General features: G+C 37.9%; 1 protein-coding gene across 1 annotated transcript, besides 2 other annotated features; it reads right to left on the minus strand.

Annotated features, from left to right (window-relative positions):
* Positions 6,046-6,215: an enhancer, noted in NCBI's record as "experimental_82611 CRE fragment used in MPRA reporter constructs". NCBI's record gives its function as "activates a minimal promoter by MPRAs in K562 erythroleukemia cells, with activity observed for both the introgressed and non-introgressed 5:151766400 or rs4392608 variant alleles {active_cell/tissue: K562}" and the evidence as "EXISTENCE:reporter gene assay evidence [ECO:0000049][PMID:34662402]".
* Position 6,131: a transcriptional cis regulatory region, noted in NCBI's record as "Neanderthal adaptively introgressed variant 5:151766400 (GRCh37/hg19 assembly coordinates) or rs4392608 in the experimental_82611 CRE". NCBI's record gives its function as "modulates activity of the experimental_82611 enhancer by MPRAs in K562 erythroleukemia cells {active_cell/tissue: K562}" and the evidence as "EXISTENCE:reporter gene assay evidence [ECO:0000049][PMID:34662402]".
* NMUR2 (neuromedin U receptor 2) lies at positions 10,838-24,571 on the minus strand. Its single transcript, NM_020167.5, has 4 exons — positions 23,680-24,571; positions 17,352-17,436; positions 14,751-14,876; positions 10,838-11,793 (listed from the first exon to the last, which is right to left on the minus strand). Exons 1-4 carry the CDS (start codon positions 24,403-24,405, stop codon positions 11,483-11,485), a joined length of 1,248 nt encoding a protein of 415 aa, NP_064552.3. The 5' UTR covers positions 24,406-24,571; the 3' UTR covers positions 10,838-11,482.
* Positions 24,572-24,738: the final 167 nt, after the last annotated feature.

The following is a 24,738-nucleotide window of genomic DNA, read 5'->3' on the forward strand; positions in this document are numbered from 1 at the left end:
AAGAATGTGAATACCAAAAAGTGGGGATCATTGCAGGGGTCCATGTTGTAAGCTGCCTAACATAGATATAAATTTTACAACTAAAGAGTTTTAAATTATTTCTCATTTGAAAAGTTATTAAGGTAATATTCTTGGTTAATCGGATTTCTATTTTACGGGCAGGGAAACAAGAATGTGTCTTGCACTGGTAGTCAGCAGACATAGGTGTCAGTTCTTTCTCCGAGTTGAGCAGCTGCAACACCTCAGGCACATTATGCAAGTAATGAATCTTGATTCCTCTGTCATTGAAGAAAGGCAGTTTGAGTACACTCTTTAAGATCCTTTCTAGTTTGGAAATTCTTTTTCAACAAAAAATCAAATTCCCTTCTAAGAACATCTAACTGTCTTTCCTCTAGACCAGAGTTTCTCAACCTCAGCACTATTGAAATTTTGGGTCAGATGATTTTGGGGGCCATCCTGGACGTTGCAGGATGTTGCACTGAAACCCTGGCCTCTACCTACCAGACATCAAAAGACAATCAAAAATGTCTTCAGACACTGGAGACTGAATCTAACATGCAAATATAATTTCCTTTTCTATAATATCTTGATTTTTTTCCATCAAGAAAAAAATCTATAAATCAATACACAGGTGTTAATAACTTAAATGTATTTTTTTTTTTTTTTTTTTTTTTGAGACGGAGTCTCGCTCTGTCGCCCAGGCTGGAGTGCAGTGGCGGGATCTCGGCTCACTGCAAGCTCCGCCTCCCGGGTTCACGCCATTCTCCTGCCTCAGCCTCCCAAGTAGCTGGGACTACAGGCGCCCGCCACTACGCCCGGCTAATTTTTTGTATTTTTAGTAGAGACGGGGTTTCACCGTTTTAGCCGGGATGGTCTCGATCTCCTGACCTCGTGATCCGCCCGCCTCGGCCTCCCAAAGTGCTGGGATTACAGGCGTGAGCCACCGCGCCCGGCCTTAAATGTATTTTTTAATTTAAAAGATAAGTGATCTTTTGAGGTAGAAAATCATGGCCTGGAGGTGAGAGGGTGTTTCTAGTGACTGTGTCAGGAATTGGGGGTGGGGAAGACACACTATTCATACTAAGCATGAATCATGCAGACTCACAGAAAATGAAATGACTAGAGAAAAATCTCTAGGAGCCACAGAAGCAATTGTGTGAAAGTATGTGTGAGTTACTGTGATGGATACTTGTTTAAAAATTTTATTTTACTTGAAGTTCCGGGATATATGTGCAGGACATGCAGGTTTGTTACATAGGCAAATGTGTGCCATGGGGATCTGCTGCACCTATCAACCCATTACCTAGGTATTAAGCCTCACATGCATTAGCTATTTGTCCTGATAACTCTCCCTGCCCCATCCCCCTGACAGGCCCCAGTGTGTGTTGTTCCCCTCCCTGTGTCCATGTGTTCTCACTGTTCAGCTCCCACTTATGAGAGAATATGCAGTGTTTGGTTTTCTGTTTCTGTGTGAGTTTGCTGAGGATGATGGCTTCCAGCTTCATCTGCGTCTCTTCAAGGAGCATGTTCTCCTTTTTTTAATGGCTGCATAGTATTCCATGGTATATATGTACCACATTTTCTTTATCCAGTCTATTGTTGATGGGCATTTGGGTTGATTTCATGTCTTTGATACTGTGAATAGTGCTGCAATAAACATATGTGTGCATGTATCTTTATAATAGAATGATTTATATTCCTTTAGGTATATACCCAGTAATGGGATTGCTGGGCCAAGTGGTATTTCTGGTTCTAGATCCTTGAGGAATGGCCACATTGTCTTCCACAATGGTTGAACTAATTTACATTCCCACCGACATTGTAAAAGTGTTCCCGTTTCTCCACAGCCTTGCCAGCACTTGTTTTTTGACTTTCTAATAATTACCATTCTAACTGGCATGAGATAGTATCTCATTGTGGTTTTGATTTGCAATGATCAGTGATGTTGCGCTTTTATTTGCATGTCTGTTGGCTGCATAAATGTCTTTTTTTGAGAAGTGTCTGTTCATGTCCTTTACCCACTTTTAGATGGATTTTTTTTTCTTGTAAATTTGTTTAAGTTTCTTGTAAATTCTGGATATTAGACCTTTGTCAGATGGGTAGATTGAAAAAAAATTTCCCCATTCTGTAGGTTGCCTGTTCACTCTGTGAAGAATGTCAATAGTGGTTTAATGGGAATGGCATTGAAGCTATAAATTACTTTGGGCATTATAGCCATTTTCATGATATTGATTCTTCCTATCCACAAGGATGGAATGTTTTTCTATTTGTTTGTGTCCTCTCTTATTTCCTTGAGCAGTGCTTTGTAGTTCTCCTTGAATAAGTCCTTCACATCCCTTGTTAACTGTATTCCTAGGTATTTTATTCTCTTTGTAGCAATTGTGAATGGGAGTTTATTCATGATGTGGCTCTCTGCTTGTCTATTGTTGATGTATAGGAATGTTTGTTATTTTTGCATATCGATTTTGTGTCCTGAGACTTTGCTTAAATTGCTTATCAGCTTAAGGACCTTTTGAGCTGAGATGATGGGGTTTCCTAGATATAGGATTATGTCATCTGCAAACAGAGACAATTTGACTTCCTCTCTTCCTGTTTCAATATCCCCCCCCTTTTTTTTTTCTTGCCTGATTGCCCTGGCCAGGACTTCCAATACCATGTTGAATAGGAGTGGTGAGAGAGGGTATCCTTTTCTTGGGCCGGTTTTCAAAGGGAATGCTTCCAGCTTTTGCCCATTCAGTATGATATTGGCTGTGGGTTTGACATAAATAGCTTTTATTATTTTGAGATATGTTTTTGTTCTGTGATGGTTAATTTTATGTGTCAACTTGACTGGGCCACAAGACACCCAGACATTTTGGTCAAACGTTAGTGTGGGTGTGCCTGTGAGGGTGTTTCTGGATGAGATTAACATTTAAATTCATCTGAATGTTAGATTGAGTAAAAGAGATTGCCCTTCCTAATGTGAGTGGGCCTCATCTAACCAATTGAAGATCTGAATAGAACAAAAATGTTAAGTAAGAGAGAAGTTCTCCTGCTTGACTGCTTGGGATGGAACTTTGTTCTTCTGTCCTTGAACTGAAGCTTATACCATTGCCTTCCCTGGGTCTTTAGTCCTTAGACTCAAACGGGAATTACACCCTCATCTCTCCTGGGTCTCCAGATATCCAACTACAGATGTTGGGACTTCTCAGTTTCTATAATCATCTGAGCCAATCTTCCCTTCCTTCTTCCCTTCCTTCTTCTCTTCCTTCTTCCCTTCCTTCTTCCCTTCCCCTCCCTCCCTCCCTCCCTCCCTCCCTTCCTTCCTTCCTTCCTTCCCTCCTTCCTTTCTCTTTCTCTCTCTTTCTCTCTTTCTTTCTTTCTTTCTTTCTTTCTTTCTTTCTTTCTTTCTTTCTTTCTTTCTTTCTTTCTTTCTTCCTCTCTCTCTCTCTCTCTCTCCTTCCTTCCTTCCTTCTTCTCTTTCCTTTCTTTTATTCCTTTCTTTTTTATCTATTTATCTATCACCATCATCCATCTATCTATCCATTCATTCATCCATCCTACTGGTTCTCATTCCCTGGAGAACCCTAAGGAGAGTTATGATAAGAGAAAATATGGTCATGGAAAACTTCTCGAAGAGACAAGTTGAGAAGAAGGTGGAGAGAAGAATTTTAGGTGAGTCACAACTTTTCTAAGAATCATATTGCAGAACCTGGCACTTTATAACACTTGAAGAGTTTTTCCATCTACCCTGGGTTTCTCCTGTTGCCATCCTCAGCTCATAGGCTCACAATTGATAAGGAATCGCTCCTTGATCAAACTGTAGTCAGGCTCCTTTGAGCCTTGTTTTTACTAGGCCTCTCTGTGGCTCCCATCTTTGGCCTGCTGAGGCCAGTTTTAGCTAGAATCCTACTAAGCTATTTTATAGACCTTGATATTCAGCCAGGCTTCTTTTCATGTGTTTTTTATCTAATCAACTCTCTCAGCCTCCTAATACCTAATAAAGTTCCTCTTGGCAATTTTTATTGTCTCCCTCACTCTGACTATAGGCTATAAATCCCCACTTGTTTCAGTCATATTTGGAGTTGAGTTCAATTTCTCTCACCTGTGGCACTAGTCTCTCCCCCATTGTAATTGTGTTGAATAAAGCTTGCTTGCCATTACTAACAAGTTTCCAGTGCAATTTTTTTTTCTTTTACACCATTAGGAAATGACACTCCAATAGGTAAAAATTATAGGGTGAAGTTTGAGACTGAATTCTAAGACCTTCTTTCAATTTCAGTCAAAGCATGATTTTAGACTTTTAAGAATCCCAGTGTGAGCCACCCAACAGTTACCTAGCATATTTTAAAGCTATGTCCTTCTGCTGTCAAGAATTTGGTTTGTGTATAAGGAATACAAGCTTTTTTTAAAAAGCTAATCAAATTAGATAGATAAACCTATTAATGAAATTCTCTTAAATGAGACCCAAAGATCATTATTACACATTGAAGAAGTATGCTTTTTTATATTATAATTTATTTTCTAAATTATACAGGCTATAGGTACTCCTCGTTCATTAAAGGTAGTGAGGTATGGAAGGAACCATGGGCCCAAGTCAGGATAAATCAGTCCTGATATGAACCTACTGACTCATTGTTTCATCTCAGACAAGCCATATTTCCTTTTTGTGCTTTAGAAAGTTGGTATAGATTTGTAGCTAAGAGCTGGCGGTCTAGACTTAGAACTAACTGGCAGAATTAAATCTCATCTCCAACATTTATTAGCTGTGTAACTGTGGGCAAATCACTTAAGTCCTCTGTTTCAATGTATTTTTGTTCTATGGGATGGGAATTATAATAGTGTCCATCTCTTGGTAAGGTTAAAATAGATCATAAATGTAAAGCTCTTAGTAGAGTAGCTAGAAAAGTCTCAATTAACATTACTGATACATAAAAAACTGTTGAACTAGATAATCCTGAAGGCTCCTTCATTTTCTAAATGTCTATAAAATTCATAATGTACATAGGGGTTTAAAATAGGCTGCATGTCTGTATTGAATCAGGGCCACAGCTAAGAAGAGATAGTGAAAGAATGACTGTAAATTTCCTTTCAGTCAGTAATCTGAAAACCGTATAATGTATTTATTGTGCATTTCCACATACTAAAGAAAAAGAGTCTTCAGCTAAGTAGAGGAGAATGTGGAATATTTGCATCTTTTTACAGTGAATCCTGTGGGATATTTAAAAACAGATGTATACAAAAGATAAGTAGATCTGTTGCTATTTTCTGCACTAATATTAATGGACAGCATTCCACAGTAATACTTCCACTGTAGGTTAATTACAAAATGCTGATGAGGCTTTCATGTCATAATTAGCATGCTTCAGCCTATTTTATCTGGTACCTCTGGGTCAAATATCTGGTCCATTGACTATTTTTTTCAATGAGTTAACCACAACTTTAAGTGGCCTATAATTATAACAGTGTTATTGGCATTTATTCTAAAAACAAATCACATATATTACAACAAGATGGCAGAATACCAGCATATTAATAGCTAGTGGTGTGCTGATAAGCCAGCTAGCTGGGAGAGGAAAAAAGCCCTGATTTGTGGTGTTTGCCAATTTCTGCAATACAAATATTTTCACCGTGACTGATTTCAAGCTATCAATCATTTGACAACAGGCCTGCAAAAGTCCTAAATATTTAACAATAAGCTTTTATAAGCCAGTCCAAGCCAGTACCAGCACACTACTGAACCACTGATACTTTTACATACTGAATTCTTATGTTGGAATAATGTTACTTCTTTAGCTGTCCCACAAATATGTTCATTCAATTAAAATTCATCCATTAGGAGAGTATCTTTATGTAAGACTTAAGTGCACTTTACAATAGAGGTTATAATAATTTGAGTCACAGACTACTTTGAGGAGCTAAGCAAGGCTATATACATTTTCTCTCCAAGGGGGGAAAAGTACTAAGAATTTTGAATATAATTTCAGGAGATTCTTGGATCTCCTTACATTTGTTCATGGGTGTCAGCTTTAAAACGCCTGCTATTTCTTTGAGCTAGAGAAACTAATGTGACAGGCAACATTCTGAATGTCATTGCTTCAGTTCACTAAGCTTATAGATTACTGGAGTGCTAAAAAGTCACTATCTCATTGCAAAAGAGTTAAGTTACCAATACAGTCATGTGTCACTTAGTGATGAGGATATTTTCTGAGAAACGCATCATTAGGCAATTTTGTTATTGTGCAAACATCATACACAAAACTAGCTGGTATAGCCTACTACACACCTAGGCTATATGGTATAGCCTATTGCTCCTAGGCTACAAATCTTTACAGCATGTTCTTGTACTGAATACTGTAAATAACTGTAACACGATAGTAAGTATTTTTGTATCTCAACATATCTCAACATAGAAAAGTTACAGTAAAAATGTGATATTATAATCTTATGGGACCACCTTCACATATTAGTCTGTGGTCTACTAATGACTGAAACATTGTTATGCAGCACATGACTATATTTTATTAATCATGTTTACTGTGTGGACTCTTCTATCATTATTCTAAAACTCAGAGATCACAAGGAATTCATAAAAAGATCATGAGGTCAATTTAATTAACCTCATTAGAAGCATTAAACAATTTAATTTTGTTTTCTCCCTTTGTTCTATGAATTTTATATGAACCATTACATAAGCTAACTCTAGAACTTGTGATATTTTAATTTTCATTTTGAAATACATACTTCCTATATGTATATATGTACATGTGTAGATGTATGTATAAACAAAAACTCAGCCAACATTATTTTATTCTTTTTTTTTCTTTTTGAATCTTATTTCCTCCTGACTAGGTCAAATCCCTTTTTCATATGGTGCCAAAGTACTTGTATTTATATTTTGTGGCACACTTCACAATCAGATTTAAGCAATTATTGTTGTCATGGTTTTCAGAAATAATAATCTCTTCTTCTAGACATCAACTTTCAAGGGCAGGAAGTTTATAACCTGGCATGATGCACATCTCCTAATGTCACCAAGTGAAGATGTGTTTAAAGGAAGAATTTATGTGTAAATAATTAGCTGATACAAGTTTTTAAAAGAAAAAGATAAATGAGGAGAAAACAAAAAAGGACCAAAGTTTTAGTCAAGCAGTCAAATTGCTAGCTTTAGTTTTAGTGTGTTTCTCTTTCTATCTATTCACTGACAACAGCAGCATTTTTAGTCCTGGTAATCGGGAGGTGATGTTAATTTGATGTTTAAGGGTTAATAGATTATCATTCAAGAATATCTCTACTTTAAAAGGCAAGTAGAAAATTAATTTCTCCTCCATTTTTGAGGTTTTGTTTTGCAGAGCCTTTTCAACTCAATCCTCGAATGACCACAGAATTCTGCCCACTAATGTAAACCATCATGAGAGAATTCTGATTTATTAAAACTGGGTTGCAATTAGCAGAGTTTCTTTGTTTGTTTTAATGTTGAGTATCTGAATATGACTATTAAATTAACAAATGATGATGTCAGAGACCAATACCCCCATTTATCATTGGAATCATTCATTCAACTTATGAACAATTCAGAGGCTAAATGCTGGAACTTTTGTGTTTCAGCATCAGTAACTCCTGAGATTGGGAAGGGCCTTCTTGTACCATAGGGACAGCAGGCATATCATTATAATCACAAGTGATTGGTTGGCCAACTGAAGGTCAGGTATCCCTGTCAGAAACCTAATCTTAGTCTTTTGTCTCTTAATATGGTTCCATTTGAAATTGTTGCTTAACTCAATACATTGAAATATGAAGCCAACTCACTTTATCACATATTTATTGAACATCTACCATTGTGATAGATATATTGCCATTGTTCCAACAACAGAAAAAATGAATACCAGATACATCATGTCTTTGACAAATTTACATTCTGGCAAAGCAAGAACATAAATCACTGAAATAAAAAGCAGAGTGAAGAAAAAGCTTAAGAGACATAAACTGACAGAGAAGTCAGATACAATATCTATTTGAATAAATCAAGCAAGGCTTCATGGAGGAAGCACCACACTGAGATGAACATTGAAGGATGAGTAGGATAGAAACAGATGGAGATTGGAGATGAAGTGGGCCTTCTACGCATGAAGATCTGCAGCTGGGAAAAACTGTGGGATGCATTTGCATAAGAACAGCAAGTAATTCCATTTGAATAGAGTATACATTACTTGTGATGGTATAATGGAAAATTATTCTAGGAAGTAGTTTTGTCCATATTACATGTGTGAAGAGTATTATGTAAGTAATAAAAGACTGAGTAAGTAAAAGTTATGGGTTTGAGACCAATTGTTGCCATTTGACTTGTCTTTATTCCAAGATAGTAGACCATACTTCCATCTATACTATATGAAATTAGACATTAGAAATCCAAGTCTAGACTAATTTATGAAAATAACTAAGCTCCTGTTTGGTATAGTTTATGCTTCTTTTGACCTTCCACCGCAGCCCCTCCCTCTTCTCATTCTTCTCTAAGTTGAACTTCTTAGTTTGGATCCAATTCCTAATGAGAAATGGCTGATAATGACTTGGCGATTGGGGTGGTAGAGATAATCATTCTAAGGAGCATTCTCATATTATAAGGGGGAACTCTTAAAGTAAAATGCTGTAGGACTGTAAGGAATCACATTATAATGGCAGTATATGAGGCAGTAGGTAAATACAGGCGTGCCTCAGAGATACTGTGGGTTCAGTTCCAGACCATTGCAATAAAGCGAGTCACACTTTTTGTTTAGTTTCTTAGTGCATATAAAGGTTATGTTTACACTATATTGTAGTCCATAATAGCATGAAGTTTTAAAAATGTATATAACTTAAAAATATTTTGTGGCTAAAAAACAAAAATGATAATGTAAACTGTCAGTGAGTCAATCTTTTTGCTAATGAAGGATCTTGTCTCAATGTTGACAGCTGCTGACTGATGAGGGTGGTGGTTGCTGAAGGGTGGGGTGGCTGTGGAAATTTCTTAAAATAAGACAACAATAAAGTTTGCTGCATCCAATGACTTCTACTTTCATGAAAGATTTCTCTGTAGCATGCAATGCTGTTTGATAGCATTTCACCCACAAGAGAACTTCTTTCAAAATTGAAATCAATCCTCTCAAACCCTGCAGCTCTTTTGTCAGCTGTTTATAGAATATTCTAAATCCTTTGTTGTCATTTCAACAACGTTCACAGCATCTTCACTAGTGGTAGATTCCATCTCAAGAAATCATTTTCTTTGCTCATCCATAAGAAGCAATCTCTAATTTGTTCAAGTTTTATGATGAAGTTGCAGCAATTCAGTAACATCTTTGGGCTGAACTTCCAATCCAGTTATCTAGCTTATTCTACCATATTTGTGGTTACTTCCTCTACTGAAGTCTTGAACCCCTCAAAATTACTCATGAATGTTGGAAGCAACTTCCTTCAAACTCCTGTTAATGTTGGTATTTTGACTTCCTCCCATGAATCACTAATGTTCTTAATTGCATCTAGAATGGGGAATTCCTTTCAGAAGGTGCATTTTACATTGTCCAGATCCATCAGAGGAATCACTATCAATGGCAGCTACCATCTCATGGAAATGTATTTCTCAGAGTTGAAATTATTCCTTGATCTATGGGCTTCAGAATGACTGTTGTGTTCACAGGCATGAAAACATTAATATCCTTGTACAATTCTATCACAGCTCTTGGGTGAATAGGTGCATTATTCATAAGCAGTAATATTTAGAAAGGAATCTTTTTGTTGAGCAGTAGGTCTCAACAGTGGGCTTAAAATATTCAGTAAACCATGCTGTAAACAGATGTGCTGTTACCCAGGTTTTGTTTCCCCATTTATAAAGCACAGAGTAGATTTAGCATAATTCTTAAGGGCCCTAGGATTTTCAGAATGGTGAATGAGCATTGGCTTCAACTTCAGGTCACCAGCTGCATTATCCCCAAACAAGAGAGTCAGCCTGTTCTTTGAAGCTTTGAAGTCAGACATTGACTTCTCTTCTTTAGGTATAAAAGCCTTAGTTAGATGGCATCTTCTTCCAAGATAAAACTGTTTCATCTGCATTAAAAATCTTTTTTGTTTTTCTGTAGCCAACTTCATCAATTATCTTAGCTGTAACTTCTGGATAACTTGCTGCAGCTTCTACATCAGCACTTAATGTTTCAGTTTGCACTTTTATATTATAGAGAATGGCTTTTTTCTTTAAACCTCATGAACCAACCTCTGCTAGCTTCCAACTTTTCTTCTGCATCTTTCTCAGCTCTCTCTGTCTCCATAGAATTGAAGAGAGTTAGGGCCTTTCTCTGAATTAGGCTTTGGCTTAAGGGAATGTTGTGGCTGGTTTGATCTTCTATCCAGACCACTCAAACTTTCTTTGTATCAGCAATGAGGGTGTTTTGTTTTCTTACAATAATTTATGTGTTCACTAGAGTAGCATTTTTAACTTTCTTTAAGAGCTTTTCTTTTGTATTCCAAACTTGGCTAAAAGCTACAAGAGGCATAGATAGCTCTAAGCCTATCTCAGTTTTTTTACATCCTCACTAAGCTTAATCCTTTCTAGCTTTTGATTTAAAGTGAGAGACTTGCCGCTCTTCCTTTCACTTACACTTAGAGGCCATTGCAGGGTTCTTAATTGGCCTAATTTTAATATTGTTTTGTCTCAGGGAATAGGTAGGCCCATGGAGAGGGACCAAGATGGGGAATGGCTGGTGGGTGGAACAGTCAGAACAACACAATATTTATTAAGCTCTCCATCTTCTATGGAAGCAGTTCATAGGTTTCCCAAAATAATTACAATAGTAATATCAAAGATCACTGACCACAGATCACCATAAGCACATATAATAATAATCAAGTTTATTGCGAAAATTATGACAATTGATACAGAGACATGAAGTGAGCACATGCCTTTGGGAAGAAAGATGCCAGCAGATTTGCTCAACAGCATTGCCACAAACTTTCAATTTTTTTAAAAGTGCAATATTTGAGAAGCACAATAAAATTCAGCACAATAAAACAAGTTATGCCTGTAGACTGCTGCCAAGGGACACTGATGTTGGCTTCTCACATCATATAAAGTAGAACAGCACGTACATGTCTTCCTTCTGTGGCTCACAGTGGCCATTGGTAGTAGGAGTGACAGCCTGACTCGGAACGTAGATGACTCAGGACGAACCATTTCCATTAATGGAAATTAATCAAGGTATAGGTGCCATGCCTTTCCAGTCACGTTCTTGGCATGAACTAGTGAAGGGGCATGAGGCAGTTAGGATAGTGGAAAGATAACTAAAAATCAGGCAGTCTTGGGTTTTGAAACCAGATCTAACTCTCAGTTTTCACGTTTATTAAAAAAAAAAAAACTAGCAATGGGTACATGAGTTGTAAGAGCCATTCTACCTCTCTAATATCATATGAGAAGGCATACATTATGGGATGTTCCTCTCTGAAGTTTTGAGGCATAGAGGAGAGTCAGCTCTGAAAGAATTCAGGTTTTGTTAAAGTGGAAGCTTTGATAGTTTGTTCTTGACATCTGTTCACTAGAGAGGGCTGCTGGGAGGTGAGAGTTGTGCATGGATGACTGACATGGGAATTGGGGACCTATATCTTCGGTCAGCTCCACAAAGTGGCATTCTGTCAGGAAGATGTTCCGCTGGGCAGGTGGCAACTGTGGGTCATGCTGGGAGTGCCACTGTTTGTGGAAAGAAGAGATCACATTCTGGAATGCTGCCTGGAAGCGGCGAGACAGTAGGTTATAGATAATGGGGTTGACAGCTGAGCTCAGGTAGAAGAAGACACCTGGAATGCAGGGGATTTAAAAAGATGTGCTGAGAAGAACTTAAGTGACCGGCATGAAGGAAGAAGCATAAATATTTACAAAGGCCTAGAATCCCTGTGATTGCCTCTTTTATAAGTGATAATACATACAAGCATCTAATTGAGAATACAAAATGCTCTGAATAGATCTTCCACCTGTGCACTTAGCCATCAAACACAAAGATTAAAGAGTCTTGGAGTAAGTTAGGCTGACATGGGATCTCTCTGAGATGTTCAGCAACTTTCTTTGATCACTACTTGTTTAATTAAAGAACATGTTTCTATAACATGACTGAAAGATGCTTAAATATCAGAGGGAAGAGAAACGTTTCTATCTCATTGGAATTTTACTTAAATCTATAATTTGGGATTGCAAGTAGTGGAAGAAGGTAAATCAGCCAAGGCTTAGTTCCTGCTGAGACTCCTTATAATGCTAAGATACGGCTTCAAAGAAATATTCCCTAGCGTGCTGTTCCTACCTACCCTTTTCCCTTGATGGTTCCTCCACCTTTTGAAGAATTGTATTTTACCATTTATTTCCTCTACCAATTAACCTTCACATTGTCATTTTCCTGTTTGGAATACACTCTTCCTTTATTGCCTTTTTAAATTTTATTTCTCTAAAGCCCAAAATCAGCCCAAGTTTGGGAATCAGAGGACCTAGTTTCTGATCTTGGCCCTCTAATATCCTGTGGCCTTAGACAAACCCTGGCACTTCAGTTTCTTTCTCTGTAAAATGGGAATGTGATTTCCAGCCTAACCCACCTCCCTGGATTATTGTGAGGGTAAAGTTAAGATACCATCCACAGAGAGGTTGAGAATGGCTAAGAATGTAAAACAAGTGATGGGTAATATTGCCAAAAGGTTCCTTGTTGTCCTTATTTATGTGGTTCAGAACATTCAGAATGCTATATGCCTTGTTTACAGAATAAACATGGAAGAATGTTAAAGGAGAATATTTCTATGCATTAATACTATTAGTTCATTCAAAAAATAAATATTGATTTAACTCTTATTATGTGCCATGAACTTCAAAGCACATTGGGAGGTAGTGAATTAGACTTTGTTCTCCAAGATCTTGGAATGGTACTGCAGAGACAAGATTTATGGCTAAGTTAAATAATTAACAATACAACAATACCAAGCAGTATCTGTTAAGAACAAATATGAGATAACAAATCATGCTATAGCAATTCACATAATAACAGAAACACAAGGACTGTGATAATCATAAAAGATTTAGTGGGGGGTGATTGAACTCTAGCCAGGCCTCAAAATGGGTAAGAGATAGTTGAGGAAGACAGGAGAGGGTGTTGCAGGTACAGGGTATATAGCACGCATAAGTATTCAGGGGCAGGAATGGCCATATTGTGCAGGAATAATGTGCAGAACTCTCTAATTACCAATTTGATAAGTATATGGTCTATGAATAAAAATAATAAAAGTTGGAGGATTAAAAGGCAAGTTGGGGGTATTTTCTGTAGGGTTTAAGAGATTTAGATTTAATCTAGTGGCTAATATAAAAGGGGGGAGATGGTATCTGAACAGGATCATGTCATTATTGAGGCTATAACTTGAAAATCTTAAGATAATTGCCTTGACGCATCCAGAGAATTGTAGTCAATTAGTCAAGTCTCATTTGACCTTGTAGTGCTTTCTCATTTATTTAAACATTTCTGTTTTCCGCAGATTAACCAAAAGGATAAACTAAGAGGTATACATATTTTTGAGCTTTGGTTGCAAATGGTTGAACAGGAAAGTGCTAATGTCCAGGAATAAGCTATACATTAGGCCTGCTGAGTACAAAAAAGAGGGTGACAGAAAATACATAGTATACACAATATTCAGTATAGATGTCATTGTTTCTGCTTTGTACACATCTGGAGCTTAACTTGTAAAAGGTGATCTTATCTTTCCTTTCCGGTGATGTCTTCTATAATCTAATGAGCCCATAGAATCAGCCGGTGACCAGGAGAGGTGGGGGGACAGAAGAGGTCTGAGCCTAAGGCTAACACTGAGTTAGCTGTCACTGACTGAGAAAGAAGAAACTAGGTGGTCATTCTTTGCTTCATTTTAGTAGAAAGAACACTGAACTTGAAGTTAGATGACTTGGGTGGGTTATTTGTTAGCTAAGTGCCTTAGGGCAAATCATTTCTTCTTGTGGAAGGGTTTTATTTTTGACTATACAATGTTAATCATAATATCCACCTAATGACCTTGTGATGATTATAGAAAGATATACAGCAATTACAGCTTAAAGAGCTCTTTAATGTCTATTATTGCATTTGCTCCTTACCATCAGTCCATGGTTTGTGTACAGGAGGCTTTTTTTTTTTTTTTTTTTTGCCATTTTACAGTTGAGGAAACTTTGGTGTGAAGGCAGCCACGTTCTCCAGATCACTCAGAATAGCAATGGTGAAATTGGGTTGCAAATCCAGGTCATCTGACTTACTGACCTTTCCACCATGGTTTCCACAATATACTATGGTATCCTCAACAAGCAGAGTTACAGTAGCCTAAAAGGAGAACTTGATTACCTATGAATACCATTTAGTTTTCCTTCATGAGGATATAATACTTCCCAAAGGCAATATGAGATTTCAGGGACATGGGTGTTTACTAAATAAGAACCAATTTAATTGCATGGCCATTTGGAGGATAACCAAAGGAATCACTCCTTGACCATTTTCCTTCTGTAATCATCACAGTTAGACTTGAGGTTTTCCATAAAGTAGCCTTGAAAATAGTGATCTGGTATATATGTATTTGGAACAGTATCAAACATAATCAATCTCTGAATAAAAGAAAAATCAAATGTCTTCATTATAGCATGGCAGATCCCCGTGATAAATTGGAGTACTTAGGCATCTAAGCAAGATGAAGAAGAAGGTGCTGTTACCTGAATACTAGTCATGCACCAAATCCAGCTAAGGTTTTACCTGACACCACATGGACGAGGTTGAACACAGCAGCCAGGGATTCACTCCACTCCTCCACAAAGCTGAAGAAGAGTCGGTCAATGTGGAACGGGGCCCAACAGATAGCAAACACTAAGACCAAGACAACTGAAAATGGATGATAAATGGGAGACCAGAAGACAGTCTGTGCAAGGATAGGTATACAATGCTCACTCTGAGTCAATCATTTCTTCTGGCAGTTTTTCCCTTCAACTTTGTTAAGCTATAACAGTTATAGAGGCAAACTAGATCCCAAAGAGTCTCAGTACAAAACACTTAAAACACAAGAATGAATTGTATAAGATCTAGGATCAGTTTTCCATAAGATTATACAAGATTTCTTATATAATGTAAAACTTTTTAGAACATTTAAAATAGTATTTAATTTATTTCAAAGTCCTGAAAACATCTTATTGTGAAAGATAAATAATAAACTGTTAAATGTGTATATAAATTCATCTTGTTGTTATAGGAATAATTAGAAGTTTCTCTGAATTCAATAATTTAAAATTCTGCAATGGGTAGGCAAGGAGAAAGAAGAGATCAAACAACCACAAGCCTAATAGTACTTTACAAGAATCTTTTGATTGGAAGGGGTGTGTCTGTCATATTATAAATTGCTACAGCACAGAATTCCTTCCCATCTCTTATTTTCACCTCCCAAAACAGAGACTGGTATTTCTGTAGTTTTTCTTTGGGGCATTTAAGCTCCACAAATTAAACACACACACACACACACACACACACACTTTTTTTTTTTCCTTTTGAAGTTGTAAATACTTTACTTTGCTATGACATGACTCTTGGGATTCGCCTAAAGATAATCTTTTGGGGCTAGGGGAGAGATAAGGGTATACATGAAACAAGATTAGCTATGAGGTAATACTTTTTGAAGCTGGGTGATGGGTACATGGGTATTCATTTTACAGTTTTCTGTACTTGTGTACAGATATGAAGTTTTCATAGTAAGCAGTATTATACATGCATTTCCTGTTGGCATTAAACACATTCAGAGTAAGTTGTTTGCCTGTGTGGTATGGTTTCAAAGATAACTATAGGTTTCTACTGAATTTGCCAACCCAAGAAAAGTCCCTAATCTGTTCACTACTGCCTACAATTCCCTTTAATTAAAACTTTAATTCCTGACGGGCGTGGTGGCTCAGGCCTATAATCCCAGCACTTTGGGTGGCCAAGGGGTGGATCTCCTGAGGTCAGGAGTTCAAGAACAGCCTGGACAAAAGCCCGTCTTTACTAAAAATACAAAAATCAGCCAGGTGTGGTTGCACACGCCTGTAATCCCAGCTACTCAGGAGGCTGAGGCAGGAGAATTGCTTGAACCTGGGAGGCAGAGGTTACAGTGAGCCGAGATGCCACTGCACTCCAGCCAGGGCAACAGGGCAAGACTCCATCTCAAAAACAACAACAACAACAGCAACAACAAACAACTTTAATTCCTGTTAAAGTTGAACCCCATCCCAACGCAAATACTTTACAGTGTATTCTGCTATTGTGACTTTAATATGAGTGAGCTTCATGTTTTTTTTTTTTTTTTTTTGTGAGAGTAGATTATGACCAAGGAGAAAAGGGGAGGGATAATGAAGAAACTATGTTTCTTGATAGAGAAAGTCAAGTGCCAAGAGGAGCTAAAATATTTCCAAGAAGATAACTCTTAGAATCGAGAAGACCCACTTCAGGGACTTCACAGTTTATTTTTTGTTCAGAAATGCTGTATAGTTACAGTGAATGTTTCATATGCATATTAGCCTGGAGGATTCATTTCTTCTAAACTTTAGATTTTGATTTGCAAAATGTATTATAAATCTCCTTTCCCTCATCAGTAACTCCTCTCATATAGTAGTGCTGTATCATATATTTTTATAACATTCTTTTGGGAGACTGTGGCTCAGTAAGTGAATTTTTAAAAAGATCTTATTTATTCAAAAGTATACTGTTTGAAACAAAGTTATACAATGTCATATGTGAAATGGCTACTTGGAGATGCTTGCCAGATGTTCTTAACCTGGAACTAAAAGATCCCATGGAGTCTATGAGTATCAGGGGTTGGTTCGTGACCTCCTGAGATGGATTGTAAAATCTTTTGTGTATGCATATTTGTTCATTTTTTTTTTTTTTTGGAATGGAGAGTCTACAGCTTTCATCATATTTTAAAAGAAATCCATAATACAAATAGGTTAAAAACCTGCTTATTTCACAGAGGGGGAAAGTGAAGCTCAAAGGCTGAGAAAGTGAATGTAATTTACCAAGCACCACACAGAGTGTATGTCAGTGGATGAAACTGAGAGTGTTGTTTTGAGGGTTCAAAACCAAAAATGAAACAAAACACACAGGTCCTAGAAGCTTGAAGAAGCAAAGGAAGACAGGTCACCTAGCGTTGACATAGACCATTAAGGAGGTGTCTTCATTATATATCTCTCCCCTTTGCTCCTTGATCTTAATCTACTCTCATAAATACTCTGTTTCAGGATAAATTGGAACCTACCCCAGCAGCATTTAGTTGGTACCAAATGTACCTCCTTTGCTCTTATGAACAAAACAAAACAAAAAACAAAATGGGGCACTTACACAGCATCTTGTTGACTGATTTTCTGCAGGGTCTTTGAATATTTGCATTCCCTTCATCTGCCTCAAGAGATTTGTCTTTCTTTAGCTGAAAGGGAAGTAAGTTGGGAGAGATAGTAAGAAAGAGAAACATTTTTCCTCCTGTTAAAATCTGAGAAACATAACTCAAACGCTCATTTTGAAGACAGAAGAACTGAGACCTAGAGAAATGTAAGACTACGTCAAATGTTTAACAGTATGTTGAAGGTGGAATTGGATTCAGGTCATCTACTCAACTGGATAAGTGATTGTGGCCAAGTAATAGTGCAACCACTTTTCGTATACAGTTATGTGGAAACTTGGCTGTGTAGCATGTTAATAGGTGTTCCATGAAAAATGTAAAATTCTGAAGTTCAAGAAAAGTTAGAAAGGCTTCTCAATTCATTCATTCACTCATTCATAATTATTAGAAATCTGTTAAAGTGAAATCCTTCTGCTCTGTGGTGGATAATTAGTAGAAAACCAAAACAGGAATTCTTCTTGCCTCATCAGTATTTATTGTGGATCTTCTCAGAGACTTAAATATGCTGATGGGCATTATGAATTTTCAAGGGGGATAGTGTATCAACTTTCCACTTAGCTCCCCTCTACCTTCCACACTCACATCACCTACTCATATCTTAGCCAAAAGGGAGATAGTGTTTATTTGAGTAAACAATATTTTCCCCCAACCCTTTTCAGTGGATTACCTTGTACCATCTTGACAAACACAAATTGGGAAATGTTGTTTTAATATTACAGTAATATTAATTACTGAAAAGTCTTATGTGTTTCTGAGTTAAGATGTTTAAAGTATATTCATCCTTGTTGGACGATATGGAGATCCTTGATGTAACATTTGAAACTTTCAGCTATCAACACTACTTGTATGCACAATCTTCCTTGCTCAGTTTAAGTCCTGCCTGTTCCTGAAAGACTTTGATGACCACTTTAGCCCACTGTCTTCTCCTTCCTTTGAACTCCCACAGCACTGAAGATCTACATCATTCATCCAGTTGTGGAAGTTTTTCTCTTTATTTTACACATTTTTTAATTTGTGGGGATGTTTGGCCAAATAAAGGAAGCTTTAAGGACTCATGATAAAATACCATCAAATATCCAGAAATTAGTATAGTACATAGTGAATATATATTTGCCCATTAGTTCTCTAGCATTTACTTCTCTCTTCTCTTAATAATAGCACCCTAATTTTCCCTTAGGGAATGTACTCCTTCCCCATTCTTAGTCTTTAATTTGTATAGAGGTGTCACTAAACTTCAGCTCCAGGTATAGTCCCTAAACAATTTAGCCAATCAACTTGTCCTATCCTCCAGTCACAATGATTGAATAATGCAGACCAATGAGATTTCAGATATTTGCTTGTGCTTCTGAAGATGCAAGTTTTCATTTATTTTTTATTGGGACTGCCAGAGAGAGTCCTTCTCTGCATATGAGGTCTGGAATTACAAACGTTATTTTTTTTCCACCACAAAGAAAAAATGCTTGGAGCCACCAAAGGATGACTGTGTGCAGTTTGAGGTTGAAACCAACACCATAGAAAAAAAGAGCAAAGAAACAGAAATAAAGTTAGGTTTATAATAAGATCGTGTGTTTTATTTAATTAATCTTCACCAAGAGCTAGCTCGGCTTCTGAACTTTTCATGTCTATGCTCCCTTTGGTATTTACCCAGGGTTGGAGTCTCTCATTGGCAGTGTAAAAAGTCCAGGCTAATTGATTGAAGCCATCAGGTGGAACGAAAATTTAACTTATTTTATACAGTCATGGCAGTAGATTAGAATCAATCTATTTAGTTACAGGTAGATAGATTCTAATTCAAGATAAGGAAGAAATTGTTGTGATTATGTGCAATAATGAAACAAACTGCTATAAGAAGCAATAATCGTCCTGGGCTGGATAGCATTTTGAAGGAATATTCCAGAAAAGGTATTTAAAATTAAATAGACTTGGAAGAGTGGGTCTTTAAAAGCTGCCTCGAAACTTCAGCAAATCCATATCCAGTCTTCCTAACAAACATATATGCTGCTTGCAGTTAGGTAGCACTCAGGACCACATAGGACCTCAAGAATCCTCTTGGATAATGTATAAACCTGGCCATTTGTCTCTTGAATATATCGGAGTGTTCTACATGTATCTGTGTCTTCATAAAGTAAAGGATTAAAGACTCTGTGAGATTAGGACTAGAAAGGAAAAATCTGAAGGTGAAAAGTATTATTAATGCAATAGTAAAACAAAATCATGCAGGTAGAGTGCTTATCTCAGTGCCTGGCACATGATACTCAGCAAGTTGTATATTACTGTTATTACAGTGATTCTGATTATTATCCAGAGTATACTAAAGAGACATCAGAAAAAATGATTTTTAAAAACTAGAGTTGTTTGTTTATATATGTGAGGTTACTTTTGTGAAGTACTGAGTCCCTTCTAGAAATTCTTTTCTCATGTTACCACTCGCTCACAAAGAGTGCCTGTACTGATACAAAGGAGGCAGATATGCTGAGAAGAAAAACACATTCAAGGTTAGAGCAATGTATCAAACTTCAAACTTTACTAACTCATCTTAGATTAAATCTATTAAAGGTTCTAATTACTTCATGCCACTTAAAGATTGTGGTTTTTACATTATGCAGTTATTCTATTATTTTATTTCAGTTCATAATTAAGAACAATAAAAAATATTGAGATATATTAGTCACTTCCTGCCTTGTGTTTAACAGTTCTCAATGGTAATTTCTCCACCCCAAGGAACAATTTTTAAAAAAATCAAACATCAAACAAATAGTTCACGCAATTCTTTTATGAACAGGCTTCCTGTAGCAGCATAGTTTACACTAAAAAGAAAATCATGTGCTGATGAATTGTTGCTTATTTTGCAGCTTCCTTAGTTTATAATGACCTAACTAGCTAACTAGAGGAAGAGTGAAAAATTGATTACTTACATATGGTGTACATTGTTCCAACAGAATTTGGAGTGGTTGACAGAATAGAATAGAATCAAAACAGTTAGTCTAGCCAATATTCAATGCTGCTTTATCGTTGAATAATTTCACTTCCCTACAGATGTTTAGTAAAGTAGATATTCAACCATTCATTATTCTTCCCCACCCCAAAACTTTTATTTTACAACTCAGGTTACAAAAGGAGGAGTGCAAATTTGTGATTACTATTACTAAATATTGTGATTACTAAAAGTTGTGATTACCATTACTATATAGTGTGATTACTAAAAATTGTGATTACCTTCTTTAGCTACAGAAGAGCAAAGTGAAAGGGAGGTTCGCGAGGTTATTATTCAGGTTGATACATTATGCTGATCAGTTGTTTATACTGCCTGAAATCACTCTACCAGATGTTCATTTATATAGTTTGTGGGACTTAGTTTCAGAATACCAGATTATAATATAGGTTTTGTGTAAATATCTCTATAATCTTAACACAATCTATTTACTTAAAAAAATTAGTGCAACCCTGTGTTGGCATGGTTGAATTCTGCTGCAATTCATACATCCATCCTCATCACCTCAATCATGAATGCAGCATGCAGGAGATGTAAGAACTAAATCAGACTGTCACCAGAACTTCCTCCCACATGTGGAGGGACTTGCCCTAGAATTGTCTATTTTCTATCTCTATAATGTTCAAAGCCTGGAGAACAGCTCAGTGGTGGCTGTGTCCTGGAATGATGCAGCGTGACTGAATGCCGAGCTGTGAGCACAGATATGGGTTTCCTCCTTCTTCTCTGGTCCTGTGATTTCATCAGTCTTGGGCTTGCTGCCTTCTGAAAGCAGTGGGTCCCAGAGTCAATCATACCTTCAAACTATCCAACAGAGTCACTCACTTAATCATTAGGATTGCTTGGGTCTCCTTGAGATGATATTTCCAAGTCTTTGTTTTAAAGGTAGAGAAGCTAAAGCCCAGCAATGAAGGAAGTAATTTGGCCTCATTCATTCACTGAGCTTACAGTCTAGTTGGGGAGAAAACAATTAATTAAGGAATCCATAAGTATGGAAATATAAATTGTAATGAAGGAAAATCACGGAGAGCCATGAGTACCTACAACAGGAAACAGGGATGCTCAGGGAATCTGGGAGAGCTTCCCTGAGGAAGCGTGTTGAAGTATGACACAGAGAATAAATGAGGGTTAGAAAGGCAAAAGGGGGAGTGGTGGCAGACAGTAGGAACATTTCAGGCTACAGGTATAGTGTACATAAAGGCCCTGCGATCAGTGACACAGAATAGGGCCTACTTTTCCTGAGTTTCAGTATAGAGATTTTTAAATTCTTCTAGAAGTGACTTTGTAAGCGTTAGTTTCTTTCCTGGTGTCCTCTGGTACCCTGGATAACAGCTCATCCTTCCTGAAAACAGGCTGTCAAAAGTTGCATTACATACACAAAGCAAACCAGGGTGGTTTTTAAACTTTTGTCTGAGCTGTCACTTACCTCCTGATACAAGGTAGCCATGGACTTTTGATAATAAAACACAATGAAACTGATTGTAACAGATTGGAAGAGGAACTGTGCATTTCCTACTCAAAGTTAAATATTTTTCCCAAATTGACCCAAAATAGGTGACTGTTTGGCATTGGATGAGGTAATATTAAGTGGGTGGGTATTTCTCATAAGACTTTCTTTGGAGTTGTATAGAAGTCTTTTCCCCGCAGTGAGATGTGCAGGACGTTCTTAAGACATGGCTGTGAGCTAGTGCGGGGTGGGACATGTCTCTGGGAATACAGGTGCTAGCCCTCCAGGAGGGGACTGGCACAGCTCTCTGCCTAATTAGATTTACTCTTGTGCCCAGATGTCCGTGACACTTAGAATTTGTTCTTCCTACTTAGACCTCGCTATTCACCTTAGGGACAATAGGTATTCAAAAGGACTACCATTGGGCACTCGCTTCTGACAATCGGCTTCTCAGAGATGGACTGAAATAGGAGTATATTAGTTGTCACATAAAGTGTGATGTCAGAGCCATCTCAAAGCAAATGATGTGAATGTGATATCTGTTTGTCCTGTCATTTAAAACTCACATTACTTCAGCTCACAGGTGTTTTTTTTTCTTTTTTTAAAGGAATAATAGACTGTTAGAGCTACAGGGGACATAGATAGGATCTGATGTGACCTTTTCATTTTATACACGGGAAAACTAATTCCAGGAGAATGATGTGGCTTGCCTAAAGGCATATTATATGTCAGCTGTAGATCTGGGAGTCTAAATGGTCTCGTAACTGTTTACTACACAAGCTATAATACCTCCCTTAAGTGGGTGTAAAATTGTCATTGTGAAGAACTTTTCTCTTCATGAATTTGGGTGCAGAATATACCAGAGAGGAATTATATAGACTAATTCCTACCCTTATTAAAAATAGTTTCTCTCAGCTAATTTAGACACCCCCCTTCTGAAAAAGAAATCAGTTTACCACCATAAACATAGGAAAAGAACCTCTAATTATATATGTTGCAAAATAAGTGATATCTTTTTCTTAATTTCAGATAAGCTCTTATTCACATTTTTTCACTCTATCTCATGTGCTGTTTACTTCCTTATCTCTCAATCTGCACCTGCTCAAAAGAAGCTCAAGTTATCTCAGTCATGTCATTAATATATATGATTATATATTATATATAACTATATATTATATATATGACTATATATTATATATGTAACTATACATATAATATATATAGTTTTATTTTGTTTTGTTTCAACCTCATTTTAATGAAAGGGTCGGAGCAACCACAGTAAATGTCTGATTTTAAAACTGAATACCTATCTTGGACTACAAAATAGGCAGGGATAGTTTGTGTTATACTCAGACCAAGTTGGTGTACAGGAAAATCTCAATGCAGGCAGTGGCCAGGGGCTGGAAAGTGACAACAGGATGTGGAGAAGTCTCTCAAAGTGTGGCCACCTCACCCCAGATCACCTGATGTGCTTATTTAAAATGAGGCTCCACCTCAGACCTTCTGAATCCCATTTTCCTGGGGGTGAGGTATGCATATTGCTCCCAAAGTAAGTTTTCTGCATGATTCTTAGGAACATTTAGATACGAGAACCCCAAGAATAGAGGGAAGAAAAATAGAAGACGAGCTAAAGGAAATGATAAATAGTTGTGGTTACCATTCATCTCATTTGAGGCAAGTCCTTTTAAGTCTCAATTTCCCATCTGAGCTCATTCTATTTTCCCTCTGTTCCCTTCCATTTCTGAATTTCCCCAATTCTAAGTTTTTCTCTGAACTTTGAGCCTGTGAAAAAAGAAGGGATGCTGCCTCAGGCCACCCCAGCCTAGATACTCACTCTGAGTGCCATGAGGTAGTAGAGGACACTGATGACAGTCATGGGGAGGAGGTAGAATAGGAAGGAGGTGACCTGGATGATGAAATTGTAGATCCACATGGGCTTGATGACCGTACAGGTGGCCGAACCTGGGACCAGGGACCCATTGGGGAAGTAGTGGAACTTGATGCCATGGATGCTGGTGTTGGGCAGGGAGAAGAGCACGGAGAAGCCCCAGACGATGCCGAGGATCCTGAGGGCCCGGCGCCGGGTGCTCTGCAGTTTGGCGCGGAACGGGTGTAGGATGGCCACGTAGCGCTCCACGCTGACGGTGGTGATGCTGAGGATGGAGGCGAAGCACACGGTCTCAAAGAGGGCCGTCTTGAAGTAGCAGCCCACGGGCCCGAACAAGAAAGGGTAGTTGCGCCACATCTCATAGACCTCCAGGGGCATTCCAAGGAGCAGGACCAGGAGGTCAGAGACCGCCAGGCTGAAGAGGTAGTAGTTGGTGGGCGTCTTCATAGCCTGGTGCTGCAGAATCACCAGGCACACCAGGACATTGCCAATGACCCCCACCACAAAAATTGGCACATACACCACAGACACGGGGAGGAAGAAGTGGCTGCGCCGAGGTCCGCAGAGGAAGGCCAGATACTCCTCGGTGCTGTTCAGGTGTTTCTGGAATGGATCTTCTAGTTTCTGCTGGTAGATCCAGGAAGCATTCTGAAGTTTTTCCATCCCTGACATTAAAATCCAAGGCCTGAGCCTCCCCTGGTACGAGGCTCTGTTTCAAGCTGAGCCAGGAAAAAAAAAAAAAAAAGAAAAAAGGAAAACAAAAAAGAGAAAGCAGTCACGAAAGTCACAGGCTTCGTAAGGAAGGCTGGGAGAGAGTGAGTGTTTCACCCTCCAGGTTAGGCTGCCTGGACCGCCGATCCCTTTTGAAGAGCCCCGGAGACACAAGCCCCTCCCCTTGACAGGCTGAGGGCCAATGAGAGTGTGTTAGGCTGCACTGGAGGAGAGGGGTGCTGGCTTCGAGTCAGGAAGCAGGGGAGGAGGCAGAGACCTCTCCCTGAATGGGAA

This window comes from Homo sapiens, chromosome 5 (assembly GCF_000001405.40).
Source record: "Homo sapiens chromosome 5, GRCh38.p14 Primary Assembly".
Classification (NCBI taxonomy): domain Eukaryota; kingdom Metazoa; phylum Chordata; class Mammalia; order Primates; family Hominidae; genus Homo; species Homo sapiens.

Excerpts from the sequence above, each read along its gene's own strand:
- NMUR2 (NM_020167.5), bottom strand. The coding sequence starts at position 24,405 with ATGTCAGGGATGGAAAAACTTCAGAATGCTTCCTGGATCTACCAGCAG. Across the intron at positions 17,437-23,679 it reads ACTACCTCATGGCACTCAGA|CTAAAGAAAGACAAATCTCT; the intron begins GTGAGTATCTAG and ends CTTCCCTTTCAG. Across the intron at positions 11,794-14,750 it reads CCTCGTCCATGTGGTGTCAG|GTGTCTTCTTCTACCTGAGC; the intron begins GTAAAACCTTAG and ends CCTGCATTCCAG.